The following is a 15716-nucleotide window of genomic DNA, read 5'->3' as shown; positions in this document are numbered from 1 at the left end:
TTAATATGTTGAAAAGTCTTCCATAAATCATTCTAGCTGAAATCCTTGCCAATTCAAACAATGTTTATACATAAACTGGTTTAATATTATACGAAAGGTAAATGTAAAATCAAAACTCTTCATTATCCTCCAGACAAAATATGGTATTATGTTTCATAGCTAACTGAGAAAACTGGCTACAGGATACTGGCACTCTCTCTTCACAGCTGTTAATTCTCCCACTTCAGTGTGGACAGTGTGTGCTCTCTGTTCTTGCTCTGGAAGAAAGGAGACTGAAATCTGCTATTTAGACTTAAAACTGACATCAAAACTATCTTTACATTTCTTTCCCAATTTTCACTGCCCCCTTTCCTCTTAGTTCTGTGTAACACAGAGCCTTCTGGTGAATAGCCTAGTTATGGGTTCCTCAGTGAGAGGAAAACTTAGTACTCTTATAATCTTTTTATCTAGGACAACTTTTAAAATCTGGGCATAGATTTTACTTTAGTCTTTGAATCTAGTGACTGTATTAGGAATAACTATTGTTATATTTATAGGCAGCTTAATAAAAGCAATGTGTGACATTTCTGTTATGTATGTGCTCAAGGTCAGTGTTAAACATAGAAGGTCATGGAAAATTACAGAAAGCAGAAAACATTACAAAATTTAGTGGGTAGAAAGAAATGAAATGACAGGATAAAAACATAGACACCTAGTCTTAAACATACTAATTAAGAAATCTTCTGCGCTTATTTCACCGCAGCCAAAAAGCAAGGTGTTGATTTTTTATTTGCATAATAAATATCCTCAGATAAATATTGTCAATTATTCACATTCTGTGAGGCCCACCCTCCCTTAACTATAGAGCACATGTTCTCTGCTTAAATAGGGAGAATGAGAACTTCTGGACTGATAAAAATTAATAGATTTTACATTTACCTTAGCAATTCTTCAAACACTGTAGAAAAGAAGAAATAGTATCAGAGCAGTCATCTTAACCATTGCTGCTGCTATTTGCAAACAAAACAATGGGGATGTTCCCATTTGACCTGCAGATGTGTCAATTATTTTTACTATTAATAACGTATATTGTGTCACTTAATTTTTACATTATCTTCAGTTTGAAAATGTTACATTTCAGTTTAAGTTTCATTGTGCTCAAATGTATACTTGAAAAATAATATATTCAGTTAGTTTCACTGTGGTTAAAATGTATACTTGAAAAATAATATATTGGTTATCATGTTGAAAGAAAAGTTAGAAATCTAGATTGAGCTATATTGTTTAAGTATTACTATTTTTAAAGTCTTCAAAATGTTTTTTTAAAAGAAAATTAAATGCAGTATCCAATTGGCTTTCTATTATATAATGGTCTAAGGGCAGTTTGATGACCTGAAAAGTAGTGGCCATTGTACTAGATTTTACATTTTATACAAGGACGAAATTGAACAAAACTTGCTAAATCAAATTTTTTTCTAAATTTCTTTACTATGTTGTTCTTTAGGAAAAAAATTAAAGGTACTCCCTAGTATGTGACAGTTTTGTTTTATTAGTGACACCAATAAAACAAAACAAAACATCATGTAACTTTTATTGATACCAACTGTTACACAATGTGTGTGCCAGGTGTCTGTGGCAGTAGACAGTACTTTCAGTACCAATTATCAGTACTTTTTCATTTGGCTTTGCATGTCTAATTTTCTAGAATTCACTCTGTTCCCAAATATATATTTACTGATTCTGAACATATGTATGGTAGATTTTGCTTAACCTTAACAAGAGATGGGCTGAATTCACATTAACTTCACCTAGATTCTCACTGCTGCTTGGCACTCCTTTAGTTTATTCCTAGTGAATTCCCAGTCATATCCAGTCATATCCTGCATCGTTGTTGATAGAAATCTTCACCACTTTGCCCAAGAATCCAAATCAGCCCTCTCTTTTCCAATGCTCCCCAGATAGACCTAAGAAAGAAACCAACATGTTCTTTGTTTTCTGCTTTTCACTTTCTTACTGTAGCTGTCTCTGAGCCGGTGCTACTGTGCTGTCCCCCAGGCTAATCATTATAAACTCCAGCAGTATTTTCAGACCTTTCCCCTGCTCTCTTTTTATCGGCTTTGCTGCCCCTGCAGCAAAATCTCCCGCACATCAGTCTTTTCCTGTCTGCATTGACCTCTCTTTTTGTCTTCTAACATGAGTAGGTCATAATTATCTTGAAAAAAAAATACTTTCTCTTTTTTCCCTTTAATTTTGCCATTTTTTCCTCCTTTGTACTAATATATTTTTCAAGTGAGTGGACAATACTCAGTTTCCTTACCTTGAGCTCATTCTTTTGTTTTCTTCTTGGATTTCAGCCTCTGCTACAGTGTGGAAAGAGACCTCTTGAAAGTCACTTCTTTCCTCCCAGTCACCAAACTCAGTGCCCTCTTCCTATTCTAGTATCCTTCAGCTATTTGAAAGAAAAAGAAAACTAGCTGTGTTCCTTTTGCTATGCACTTAGCCCACTGAGATTTTTACTGATTAGGAAACTGAGGCTCAGGAAGATTGTGTAGATTGTTTATGTTCATATCATCATTAAGTTGCAGAACCATGGCTTGGTCCCTGTCCTAAAAATGGTGCTCTTTCCATCATACTGCATAATTGCACTAGACACCCTGTTCTTTAACTCGAAGGCTCTTGGCTTCTGGAACATTATTCTATCATTCTCTTCATTACTCCCTTACTAATCCTTCTTATCCAAGATCCTGAATCTATATCTTCAACCCTCACTTTTAAAATATATCCTATTACATTACCAACTGCCTACTATGCCTTTCTAGTTATATCTGTCATCACCTAAAATTCAACATGTCTAAAAGCTAACTCATCACTGTTTTCTTCAAATCAACACCCTCTTTGACTTTTTTTGACCTGTCCATCATTTTTCTGTCAGTCATTTCCCTCTTCATCTAAGCCAGAACCATCAGCTGTCTTTCACTTTTCACTGTCACATGGCTTGATAGTCAGCATATTTATCAAGTTATTTTCATATATGTAACATATATGTAACATATACAGTTGTATAGCCCGCTATCTATTTATTTTTATTTTTTAAGTGAGTGCTCCGCTGAATAGCCCACTATCTAATTTTTCTTTCATTATTTATCTTTATATTGCTGCCAAATTCACATTATAGCCCATTGCTTCATCAGGTTTAAAAGCCTTCAGAGGCTTCCAGTTAGATTTAGGATAGAGAATAAACTTCTTACCCTAAAATTCAGCACTATTTCTGTCACTGTCATAGTCTGGTTGTACATTTACTCTCCAACCCAAAATATTTCCCCTGCCTTCCTAAAAATAGTCTTTAAAAATTATATATTACTTTTGCTCATATAATACAGTATTAACTGGAACATTCTTCTCCAGTGTTCCCCTCATTCAGAGCTGTCTAAACCCCTTAAATTCCTTGTCTAAACCCCTTACAATACTTCAGTCTAATCTCTAGCAGGAAACCTTATCCAAACGTCCTATCCCATAGTGACTTTTCCTTTCATTGAACTCTGAAACACTTACTTTTCATAAGCATTCATTTAGGTTTTCTTCTACTGCCATGTATTATTGATGTACCTTGGCACGTGTGTATTCTAGATGTTTATGTATGTGTCTCATTGCCACAGATAAACTTTAAATTTTCTTAGGGCAAAACTCTGTGTTACACTACTCAGTGTCTATCACTGAATACCTTGCATATCACACCTTGTGTTTAATATGTTTCAAAAATAAAATGTGGACAATTTTAATGTATTGCTTCATGTTTTAAAAAATATTTTAAAGCAGATGCATATATGTAAATATGCACAGATATACATATATCTATTTTACAAGCTAGTCTTATAGGCATTCATCTTTCTATCTAAATGTAAAGTGAATTGGATACTTTTTTAAAAAAATCAAATGACTAGGAAATTTTTAATTAGTAGCATGGACATTATTTACCAGTTTATTTTCCCAAGAAATATGAGGCCTAATATCTATTTTAATAAGAGGAATTTTATTTACCCCACTGTAACTATCCTTTAAAACTATTTTTTAAAAATATATTTTGGCCAGTAGTTTCCTTTCACCTGACAGGAGCTGATCTCTATGCTTGGAGGTATCTGAGATTAATCATGATGGTTTCAGCCCATGATAGTACTAACACCATCATGATTCATCTCAGAGTTATCTGACAAAACTATCTTAGAATTCTCCCCACATGCAAATAAAAAGGAACTACATTATGACTGCAACAATTTAGATAATTCTAAAAGTTGAACAGAGTTGCAAATGGGAGTTAAAATGTGTATAGATTAAACGGTCAAATTTAAGTAGTTCTGAGTTTGAAGCTTAATCTTATTTTGAAAATGTAAGAACAACAACAACAACAACAAAATTGAATCAAGCAAAGACAAATGATTGGTCTTTGAACAGCTCAACTAAAGTTACAAGCATTCCCTTCCTTATGTGGTACTAATCTGTCTGCCTATAATTGAGATTTCCTGACTTTACATCTATACTCATCTAGGATAAGGATTTGTAACCTGCAGTCCTTAGATGGAACTCTATTTCTGTTTTAAAAAATGTGTATGTGCATTATTCTGGGAAGAAGTTCTGTGACTTTCCTAGTACTCAAAAGGGTCCATAGCCCCCCAAAAGAGCTTAATATCTTCACTACAACCACACACATCTTTTCCTTTTTCCTTGTGACACAGTCTTTTAGATATCCTAAAGTCTTAATCTTTTCTTCTTTCCTAAGTATATCTTCTTCTCTGGCCTAATACTCCTATGTCCCTCCGCTCTTTCTTACATAACATGAATTCTACAGCCTTCAACGATCTCACCAGGTCTTGATTTCCTTTATCCAGATAAGTCCTAATTTGTCAGTATGCCTTATAAAATGTGACACCCAAAATTGGAAACTTTTATAGTCAATTTTGTAGACTATACTGAGCTACAACCTTCCTTCTTTAGAATACTATATATATATATATCTAGACTAATGATTTCCTTTGCATGTGAGACACTGCACAGATGTCCATGCACATACACACTGCTCAGAGTTCTAGTCCTGACTAGTCACTGATATGCTATGTGGTCTAGGAGTTTCTCTGTACCATTCTTCTAAAATTTTATTTTTAAAAATGTTTATACCACTTACTAAACAAATATGTAGTTATTCAACAGACCTCATGCTGTGGTATTTTTTTGTATTTAATTGTACGTTGGTGCGAAAGTGATTGCGGTTTTTTGACATTACTTTTAATGGCAAAAACCGCAATCACTTTCGCACCAACCTAATACATAAGAAGATAAGAATTTGGGTGACTTACAGCTTGCTTATTAGAGACAGTTATAATCTGTTCTCATGTCTTTTTGTATTTGTTATTCCTTTACCATTCACTTTGGTAGCCCTTCTAAAGTAACCTTCCTCTCCAAAGGAATCCCAAGCTTGAACCTGATGCCTCTTTTCCTCATAAAACCAATAGAGTTGGCTTATTTCAATCTATGTTCCCAATTTTCAGGATTGAATTTAAAATTCTTTGTGCTCATGACTGCTTCTATGTATTTGATTGATTTGGGAGAACTGAGGTTAGATTAGATATAAAATTCTCAAAATGTGTTTTTTATAAAACAGAATATGGCTAACAGTGTATTTTTATGATGTTTACATGAGGCAAATACCAGTGTTAATTTATAACTATCACCAAATGATATTAAAGTGGCATAGATTATGTAACTAGAGAATTAGATATCATTAATGTATACTATTAGTAGGTTTGTTTATTTTGCACAATTTTTAAAAAGTAGCTTAGCATTAGTTCTACATCTCAGATACTGATTTAGGTATGAATAAAGAATCTATTAAATAATGCTTAATTGACATTGTTTTTAAATCATTTCAATTAAAATTAAATACTGGAAATAATTCTAAAATATTGTTATCCTTTTACACTGAGGAATTTTGGAAACAAACCTGACTTTTGCTAAGCAGATTGAGTATACAGTCAACTCTCGATTATTCAAACTAATGGAGGAAAGGATAGAACAAGCATTAACAGTTTTCTAGTTGCTGCCCCCTCGGACAGTTGATGAAAGCCTCATTCCAAAGAAGTATTTTGGCTTTCCATCTTATCATATTACATTTTCTAGCCCTTGTATTCAGGATTTAGTCTGAAATACAGGTTACAACAGAGTTGACAAGAAAGTTTCACGTTATCACGTTCTTTTCTTCATGTACATTTTTAAAATCAGTGCCTTAGCATTGCTTTTGTATTATTAAAATTCACATGAAAATTTGATCGAATTGCTAGTAGGCTATTATGTTGATGGCTCATAAAGTTAGTTTTATATAAAAAGTCTGATCTTTGAATTACAACTTATAGATAATTATAACCTTTCAAAAGCATTACCTCGTGGTACCTAATTACTTAAAAAAAATTTTTACCATAAAAGTTTTATGAGAAAGTTTTTATCTTGAAAAGGTTTTTATAGATATTCTTCCAACTTTTAAAATTCTTAATGTGTGTAATATTTCTGAGTACTATGTAAGTGTTTGTAAAGTGAAGAAATGCCAAAGGAATTTATGTGTGAAAACATTATGTTGTGTGTATATAATACGTCATTTTCTCTGCCAATTAACGGCACATAGTGTGCTAGTATCCAGACATAAGTATTCATGGGAATGCATGTATCTGGATAACCGCAAGTTGAAATAAACCCACCTGCCTTTTATTTCAATAACTGCACATTCAAATCCAGCGAAGACATTTATTTGAATGTAACCTCTGTATATGTGAGAGAATACTGTTTTCAGCATTTGATTTTTTTGTTGGTGGTGTTTTGTTGGTGGTGGTTTAAATCTAAAGTAGGTAAAAACTTATGGGTAATGCTTCTCTGGAAAACTTTGCATGCAGAGAAAAGGAAATTCAAAGATAAATTCTATGAAAAACATTGAATTGTTTTGTCTTACTATGTTTTCCCTCAGTGTGTATTGTAGCTAGGTTTTTGTAGAACATAGCAATGTTTAAAGCCAAAGTAGTACAACCTATACATTGGTTTGGAGTTGGGCTTCCTTTACTTTAAGTTAAATAATTTAATATTTTTCTCCCAGAATAAAATTGCTAGTCTTTCATTTGGAGCATTTTTTTATCAAGAAGCTCTTTCCTTGAAAGGCATACTGCAATATATATGTGAGCTTTAAGAAATCATGTTTTGTATTAGACAGCAGAAGTGTTTGTTAAAAGGCTTGTTTTAACGTCTGTATTGTGGTTTCATCTGCAGCCCCCTTCCCCAAATTAGGCCGTATTTCTGTATAGTTAGTTTTACCTGACATGAGCCAGAAAATTAAATAAGATTTCTTTAACAGTCTTAACTTTGAATTTCCTGCTTTTCATTGCATGTAAACTATCAACCACAAACAATAGTTTCAGTTCAAGTTCTAGCTTGTATTTTGCATGATAAAGCTACAAAAAGTCTATTAATGCTGGAAAGAATTTATAGCTACTGTTGTGCTATTGCTTAATTGTTAAAATGCATAAATAAAGAGCAATTTTATTTATGTAGACTTGTCTTTCTGCCTTAGGGAGTGAACTACTTTATGTCCAAGGGTATCCTGGATGATTCGCCAAAGGAAATAGCAAAGTTTATCTTCTGTACAAGAACACTAAATTGGAAAAAACTGAGAATCTATCTTGATGAAAGGTAAAAACGAAAATTAACTTTTCATCCAAAATGAGTTAAGTAATGTTTTTGATGAGTTAAGTTTTACTTTAAAACTAATACTGCATAGTAATCATCTGGTTGCAAAATTGAATAAAGACAGGGAAAAGATTCCTATATCTCACACATCATTTCTTTCGTGAGCTTTGACTTGTTGATGAGGAAGTTACCATTTTAAAAGTAAGTAAAAGTCCACATGTACACAAAATGGAAGCCCAACGTCTTTGTAATAGCAAACCAAAACAAAATATTTTTCAGGAATCTGCAACCCTGATTTTTTAAGACAAGTAGCCATAATCTAAGTGTTTATAGTGGTAAAAATTCTGAATTATGAAATTATCCATATAAAAAACCTAGTACAAAGACAGATTATAGTCATAAACCCCAAATCCTAGGGATATAAGGTATATATATTTGCATGTAGACACTATATAGAAATGTTATGTTCAAGTGTGAAAATTATGAAAATGTAACATTTAGCAGTTTTACACAGAGATGATGGTTAGTATGCTGTTCTGATTTGATAGTTATTCATTTGTACACTTTACTTTTGATTATTAAAGAACATAAATTTGGGGACAACATTTTGATGCCACATAACTGAACTACCATTTTTAAAATTATAGCTCTCGTGCTAATGTAATGTATGGCTTAAAAATAGTTTACCTTCATTGTAATTCTCAAACTTTTGTATATATCAGTATTTTTCAACAGCAATCTGTAAATATTCATTATATTCCAGAAACTTTGCTAGAGTAGTAGCACACGGATGATTAAGATACAGTCCCTGTCTTTGAGAAGTTCAGAGTCCAGCATCCTGGTCATTGAAAGATGTAAAGATCGCATCATTAAGTTTTTTTGTCTTTAAGTGCCAAGTACCTAGGGATAGGCAGGGGTTTTTTTCTTTCTTTTCTTTTTCTTTCTTTCTTCTTTTTTTTTTTTTTTGTAAATATTTTAGGTTTTGTGGGTCATATGATCTTTGTCACAGCTACTTAAAACTCTGCCATTCTGTGGTGAAAGCAGATATAGACAATACATAAAGTAGTGTGGATGTGTTCTAATAAGCTGTATTTACAAAAGCAGGCAGCAGGCCAGATCTGGCCCAGTAGCTGTAGTTCGCCTGTTCCTGTTATATGCAATTGGTAGAAGTTGAAGATTTGATCATAAAATCATGATTGAGTTCAATAAGAATTGAAGGACATTGTAACAAAGTGTGACTCTATATTGAAATGCTAGTGATTTTTTTAAAAAATTAGATATACACACACATATATTTATATTATAGCAAATAAGCTAAATGTATATCAATAGGATTGTTGCATCCATTAGACAGGATACTGTGCCATTAAAAATAAATTAGGTGGATCTAGGTATAAAGATATACAAAGCTGTCCACAATATACTATGTGAAAAAAGCAAAAACAAATTATAAAACAATATATAGCATATGTAGGCATTCTTAAAAGTCTATGTAAATAGTTTTTACCTCTGAAGATGTGAATTGGTATAGGTGGAGACTGTCATTACTTTCATAATTTGAAAAATAAACAATTCTATTGCTATTTGGATTTGGCCAAGAAGGCACTTAAAAAGAAATTGTTCATTTTAATACTGCAGAATTCCTTTTTTCTTCATTTTAGAAGTAAAATTACTAGGTTTTACCTTGTTTCATTTTGTCATAAACTACTCATGAGAGATTTCAAAGTTAACTTCTTAAATAATCATACTTAGATTTTTTAATGTTGGGAATTATATATACTTTTATAGGATTAGCTGATCTAGTAATCAGTAATAAGGTATTTTATCCAAAAAATGGAAATTTGTTATTTTTCTTACCATTTTTTTAATGAAGAAAAGTTAACCAAAGCTGTGCCTTTTTTTCTTTCTGTAGGAGAGATGTCTTGGATGACCTTGTAACATTGCATAATTTTAGAAATCAGTTCTTGCCAAATGCACTGAGAGAATTTTTTCGTCATATCCATGCCCCTGAAGAGCGTGGAGAGTATCTTGAAACTCTTATAACAAAGTTCTCACATAGATTCTGTGCTTGCAACCCTGATTTAATGCGAGAACTTGGCCTTAGTCCTGGTAAGAATATATATATTAATAGTACATCACCCCCTGCCCATCTTTAGGTAAAAACAGAGATATATGAGACATTTGTCTCACTGTGGGGAAAAATATTCTCAGTAATTACAAATACTTGTTTTACTGTTTGTAGCAGTGACTGACTACTTCATCATTTATGGGAGCTTGGAAAAAACAGTTTGTCATAGCTATGGTGTGCGTGTGTGTGTGTGTGTGTGTGTATATATATATATACATGGCTATGTATATATAGCCATTTATATTTTTTATATATTACCTACAAATTTATATATAAATATATATATTACAAATTTATATGTATACAAATGTCTATGTCTATATACACATATAGACATACACATAGACTGTGTCTATGTCTATATACACATATAGACATATAGACATTTGTATATATATAAAGTTGTTATATATGTCTGTTTGTGTGTACTTCTATCTATATGTGTATGTTTGTATGCTTATGATATAGCCTGAATCTTCTACATATTGTTTCAATTCATATAGCTTATCTTTTCATATCAAAAATTTTATTGTGCTTATCTGATTAAACAGAAATTACAAAACTGTTCCTGTCGTGTGAAATTTGTTGAGCATGCTTTACAAGACATAATGTTCAACTTGGCTTTCTTAAGACTGCAGGATTCCGAAATATCAGCACTATAGTAGTAGAACTATTATGACGATTGTTACTATTTTAATATTAAACATCAAATATTACCCTAGGCATATATAAAATCTTGTTGCATGGTGCTCAGGTGTAGCAGTCTTTTCCCTAAAGATTTGCTTTCAAAATTAATATGTAAGTTCCACAGGCCTTTATAACATCTTAAATGAGAATATTAATAATCTTTTGAGTTATTTACATTTTATTTTCTAGTACCAGATTCATGTTTTCTTGTCATTAAAGATGCTCTCAAATTAAAATAGGTTTTTATGAAAGCATTCTATATAAATTTTTTTTTAGAAAGAGGAGATAAATACAAATGTATTTTATGGATGTTTGAATAGAAATATCACATTTGAAAGCAAAGACGAAAATAAAGCCAATTCTAAATTTTTTAAATCTAGAATGAATTTTTACTATACACTCCTAAACTGTTCTAAAGTTCTTTTGAAATGAAGGAAATGCATGCTTAGTTAGTATTAAGATAGGATGATAACCATCCTGGTTTGCTCAGGATTGAGTTTCCCAGGATGACAGGACTTTCAGTGCAAAACTGGGAAGAGTCTAGACAAACTGGGATGGATTGGTCACTCTGTATTTATGAGCTAATCTTGATATCTTGAAATTATGAACATTTTTGCCTTATATAATGCCATTGGAATCATATTTTGTAAACCAACTAATAATTTGAACTGTTTCTTTTTCTTTCCAGATGCTGTCTATGTACTGTGCTACTCTTTGATTCTACTTTCCATTGACCTCACTAGCCCTCATGTGAAGAATAAAATGTCAAAAAGGGAATTTATTCGAAATACCCGTCGCGCTGCTCAAAATATTAGTGAAGATTTTGTAGGGCATCTTTATGACAATATCTACCTTATTGGCCATGTGGCTGCATAAAAAGCACAATTGCTAGGACTTCAGTTTTTACTTCAGACTAAAGCTACCCAAGGACTTAGCAGATATGGGGGTTACATCAGTGCTGGTCATTGTAGCCTGAGTATACAATCAAGCTTCAGTGTGCAACCTTTTTTTCTTTTGCCATTTTCTATTTTAGTAATTTCCTTGGGGAACTAAATAATTTTGCAGAATTTTTCCTAATTTTGTTTATCACGTTTTGCACAAAGCAGAGCCACTGTCTAACACAGCTGTTAACGAATGATAAACTGACATTATACTCTAAAAGATGGTGTATTTGTGCATTAGATTTGCCTGAAAAACTTTATCCATTTCCATTCTTTATACAAATACCATGTAATGTGTACATATTTAACTAAAGAGATTTATAGTCATAATTATTTTATTGTAAAGATTTTAACTAAAGTTTTTCCTTTTCTCTCAAACTGAGTTCTGAAATTTATTTGATTCTGATCTGAAACTATTGTCTTCGTAAAAGTTAGATCTGACTTCAGACAGAAACCAATACCAGCTTCCTTTTCCTTTAAACTTTGAAGAGTGTTGATTTGTTACTATATTACTATGCAAAACTGGCAGTTATTTTTATAATATAAATTTATAATTTGATTTTTTATTTTAAAAACTGGGTTAATCAAGTCTCGGTAAGTCCTTTAAACCATTTAGGATTTTTAAAACATCAAAATTTATGATTTACATTCATAGGAATAAAATAAAATATTATTAGAACTCTGGTAAATGTTTGCTTGCTTATATGTGGTGTGATTATGCAAACTTTACTATTTTTGTAATCTTGATGATCCCCGTTCAGAGTCCATTGAGAAAGACATATTGTGAAGAACAGTAAACACTCTTTACTCATTGGTTCAGTGAATGTCTATCCAGGGCTTTACATGTGTTAACATTGTGCGAGGTACTAGACATGGGCCCTGCTCTCACAGATAATACATAACTGGGTACTGAGAAGAAAAAATCTGCTGAATGGAGAGCAACTATATGAAGTATATCTTAATTAACAATTATTTAATAGTTAAAATATGCAGCATTAGAATGATAGAGAACAGTGTAGTTATATGGTAAGTTAAAAGTGACCTCCAAGTAAAAAGCATAACCTTAGGAATGAAATAGTATGTGATGGGTTGAGCTACTAGTTTAGAGGAGGGAGTTGAGGGAGGTAAAAACTCCTTACTAGAGGTATTGAATCCTGGCTTCCTTCCAGATCTGACCCTTAGTCAAAAGTGGTTGTCAATATTACAACTGGAATGTTGTACTACAGATTTTTCAAGGACAAGACATACGATAATCAAATTTTGAATGTCTAAGGGACTTTTAGACTGATAGTAAATAATTTCTAAGATTCTGAAGCAAATATCCAAATCATTTTTGCATGTGCACAATTTTGAATTCCATGACAATTCTAATTTTTAACTTCAAAACTGCTTTATTACATTTCAAAAGACAAAGGGTGGTGATAACTATTATTTACTATCATGCCTAGTTTTCAGTGATTAACACTTTGCCCTCTCCCTCTGTCTACCTCCTTCTGTCTTTCCTTCTTTGTTTTTCTTCATACCTGTCTCTTACCATCCAGTTCTCTCTGCTTCTGTTTTAGCTTATATCTTTTCCTTTTTTTGTATCCTCAATTTCCTAACTTTTTTTCTTTTTCCTATTTTATTTTTCTACCCTGACTTGATTATAAATGTGGATTGGCAATATTTCCTTTTCCAACATTTTCTTAGGAATATTTCAAACACATAGAAAAGTGGGGCCAGGCACAGTGGCTCATGCCTGTAATCCCAGCACTTTGGGAGGCCAAGGTGGGAGGTTTGCTTGAACCCAGGAGTTTCAGACCAGCCTGGGCAACATGGCAAGACCACGTTTCTACTTAAAACTAAAAAATTAGCCAGGCGTGGTGGTACATACCTGTCCGTAGTCCTAGCTACTCAGGAGGCTGAGGCAGGAGGATGGCCTGAGCCCAGGAGTTCGAGATTGCAGTGAGCTGTGATTGCCACTGCACTCCAGCCTAGGCAACAGTGAGACCCTGTGTCAATAAAATTTAAAAATAAAATAAATTTTAAAATAGAAAAGTGGAATTATTTTGCAGAGAATGCCTACTCACCACCTAGATTCTACAATTAAAATTTTACTGTATTCACTAAATCATGTTTATCTATTCCTCTATCCATCAATTATTTTGATACAGCTAAAAATAAGTTTGAGACGTAACTTCCTTCCTAAAGACTTAATTAAACTTGCAAATCATTAGCTAGAGATCATTTTTTTAGCTTTTTTTTTTTTTTTTTTTTTTGAGACAGAGTCTCCCTCTGCTGCCCAGGCTGGAGTCCAGTGGTGCGATCTTGGCTCACTGCAACTTCCGCCTCCCAGGTTCAAGCGATTCTCCTGCCTCAGCCTCCCAAGCAGCTGGGACTGCAGGCACGTGCCACCACGCCCAGCTAATTTTTTGTATTATTAATAGAGATGGGGTTTCACCGTGTTAACCAGGCCAGGCACAGTGGCTCAAGCCTGTAATTCCAGCACTTTGGGAGGCCAAGGTGGGAGAACTGCTTGAGCCCAGGAGTTTCAGACCAGCCTGGGCAACATAGTAAGACCACATTTCTTGCTTAACCAGGATGGTCTCAATCTCCTGACCTTATGGGCCACCCATCTCGGCCTCCCAAAGTGTTGGAATTACAGGCATGAGCCACCGTGCCAGGCCAGCTTTTTTGTTTGAGGTAAAATTTATGTGTACTAATCAATGAGTCTCCGCAAATGCATGTATACCTGGGCAAAGCAAACCCAGTTCAAAATATACAACTTTACAGCCTATTTACAGATAATATTGTACTATATAACATGAAACATCGAAAACTTACAACCATGTAAGCCTCTTTACCCTATCACCCCATCCATTATCTTATTAAATGTATTACGTATATGTTATAAACTCCACAATATAATGTTATAATTTTCTTTGAACAGACATATATATTTTAAATTTAAAAAAATGCTCTTTTATATTTACCCAAATTATCATTTCTGATGCTCTATTTCTTCCTGAAAAATCCAAGTTTCCTTGTAGCATCTTTCCTTTCAAACTGAAAAACTTTAACATCTATAGTTCAGATCTGCTGGAAATTAAGTATGACAAATTTTAAAATCTGAAAATGTCTTTATTTTGTTTTCCTTCCTGAGGAATATTTTTGCTGAATACATAATTCTAGATTAACTTCCCCCCACCCCACGTTTGGCATTTTAAGGATATTGTTCCAGTTTCCTGACCTCCATTGTTTCCAATGAGAAGAGTAGTGTTCAAATAGTTTTTCCCTTGTGAACAAATGTAATTTTCCTCTGAGTGCTTTATTTCATCAAATATTGTTTTTCAATCTCATTTTCTCTTCTCCTCCTGGGACTGCATTTATGAATATGCTAGACCTTTCGATATTGTCTCACAGGTTTTTGAAGCTCTTGGTTTTTCATCCCTTTTTTTCTCTTTTTTCTTCAATTGGATTTTTTTCACTTGATTTGTATAGTCCAACTCACTGACTCTTCTGTACTCATTTTCTTTTAAGCCCATTCAGTGAACTTTTATTCTAATTATTGTATGTTTTAGTTCTAGAAATTCTATTTAGTTTTTATAATTTATATTTCTGTGCTGAGATTATCTTTTCATTCATGACTGGTGTATTTTTCCTTACACCTTTTAGCATAGTTATAATAGCTAAGATACTTGATGGCTCATTTCAGTATTCTATTTCAATATTAAATACTTGTCTATTTTAATATTTAGTATTTTAATATTCAATATTTCAGTATTGGATATTTCAATATTCAATTTTCAAAATTCTTATTTTAATGTATGAATATATTCAATATTCATTTCAATATTCTGGATCATTTCATTGTCAGTCTTCTCTAATTTTCTTTTCTTTCGAGAATGGGTTACATTTTCCTGTTTCTTCATATGTAGAGTAATTTAGATTGTGTCTGGAACATGGTAAGTAAAATGTTGCAGAAACCCTGGATTTTTATTTGTTTCTCTAAAGGCTTCTTTTTTTTTTTTTTTTTTTTTTTTTTTAAAGCAGCTAGTTAACTTGGCCAAACTGCCAGCTGCAAGCTCTGGTTCCCCTAGAGTTCGTGGCAGCTCAGATTTTAGTTCAGCTTTTTAACCTGGCTATTGTACTTGAAATCTCTTCTGTACATGCATGCGTGGGAGACCAGCCAGCTTTAGCAGAGTCATACACAGAATTTAGGGCTCTCTCTGTGGTTCTTTTCGTATCAGGATTTCCCTCTGCGTTTTCCAGCAGTTGCCATTACC

General features: G+C 32.9%; 1 protein-coding gene across 2 annotated transcripts in view; it reads left to right on the top strand.

Annotated features, from left to right (window-relative positions):
* Positions 1 to 12140, top strand: part of FBXO8 (F-box protein 8) — a 47010-nt gene extending 34870 nt beyond the window's left edge. Inside the window, exons 4-6 of one of the 2 annotated variants that reach the window (NM_012180.3) lie at positions 7580 to 7698; positions 9608 to 9804; positions 11199 to 12140. In NM_012180.3, the coding sequence (NP_036312.2) occupies positions 7580 to 7698; positions 9608 to 9804; positions 11199 to 11386 (504 nt within the window). In that variant the 3' untranslated portion in view covers positions 11387 to 12140. Of the gene's footprint in view, positions 1 to 7579; positions 7699 to 9607; positions 9805 to 11198 lie in introns of those variants that run through there. The other variant, XR_007096390.1, reaches the window with a different exon arrangement.
* The last annotated feature ends 3576 nt before the right edge of the window (positions 12141 to 15716 follow it).

This window comes from Homo sapiens, chromosome 4 (assembly GCF_000001405.40).
Source record: "Homo sapiens chromosome 4, GRCh38.p14 Primary Assembly".
Taxonomy (NCBI): Eukaryota; Metazoa; Chordata; class Mammalia; order Primates; family Hominidae; genus Homo; species Homo sapiens.
This window is presented reverse-complemented; position numbering and strand designations above follow the sequence as displayed.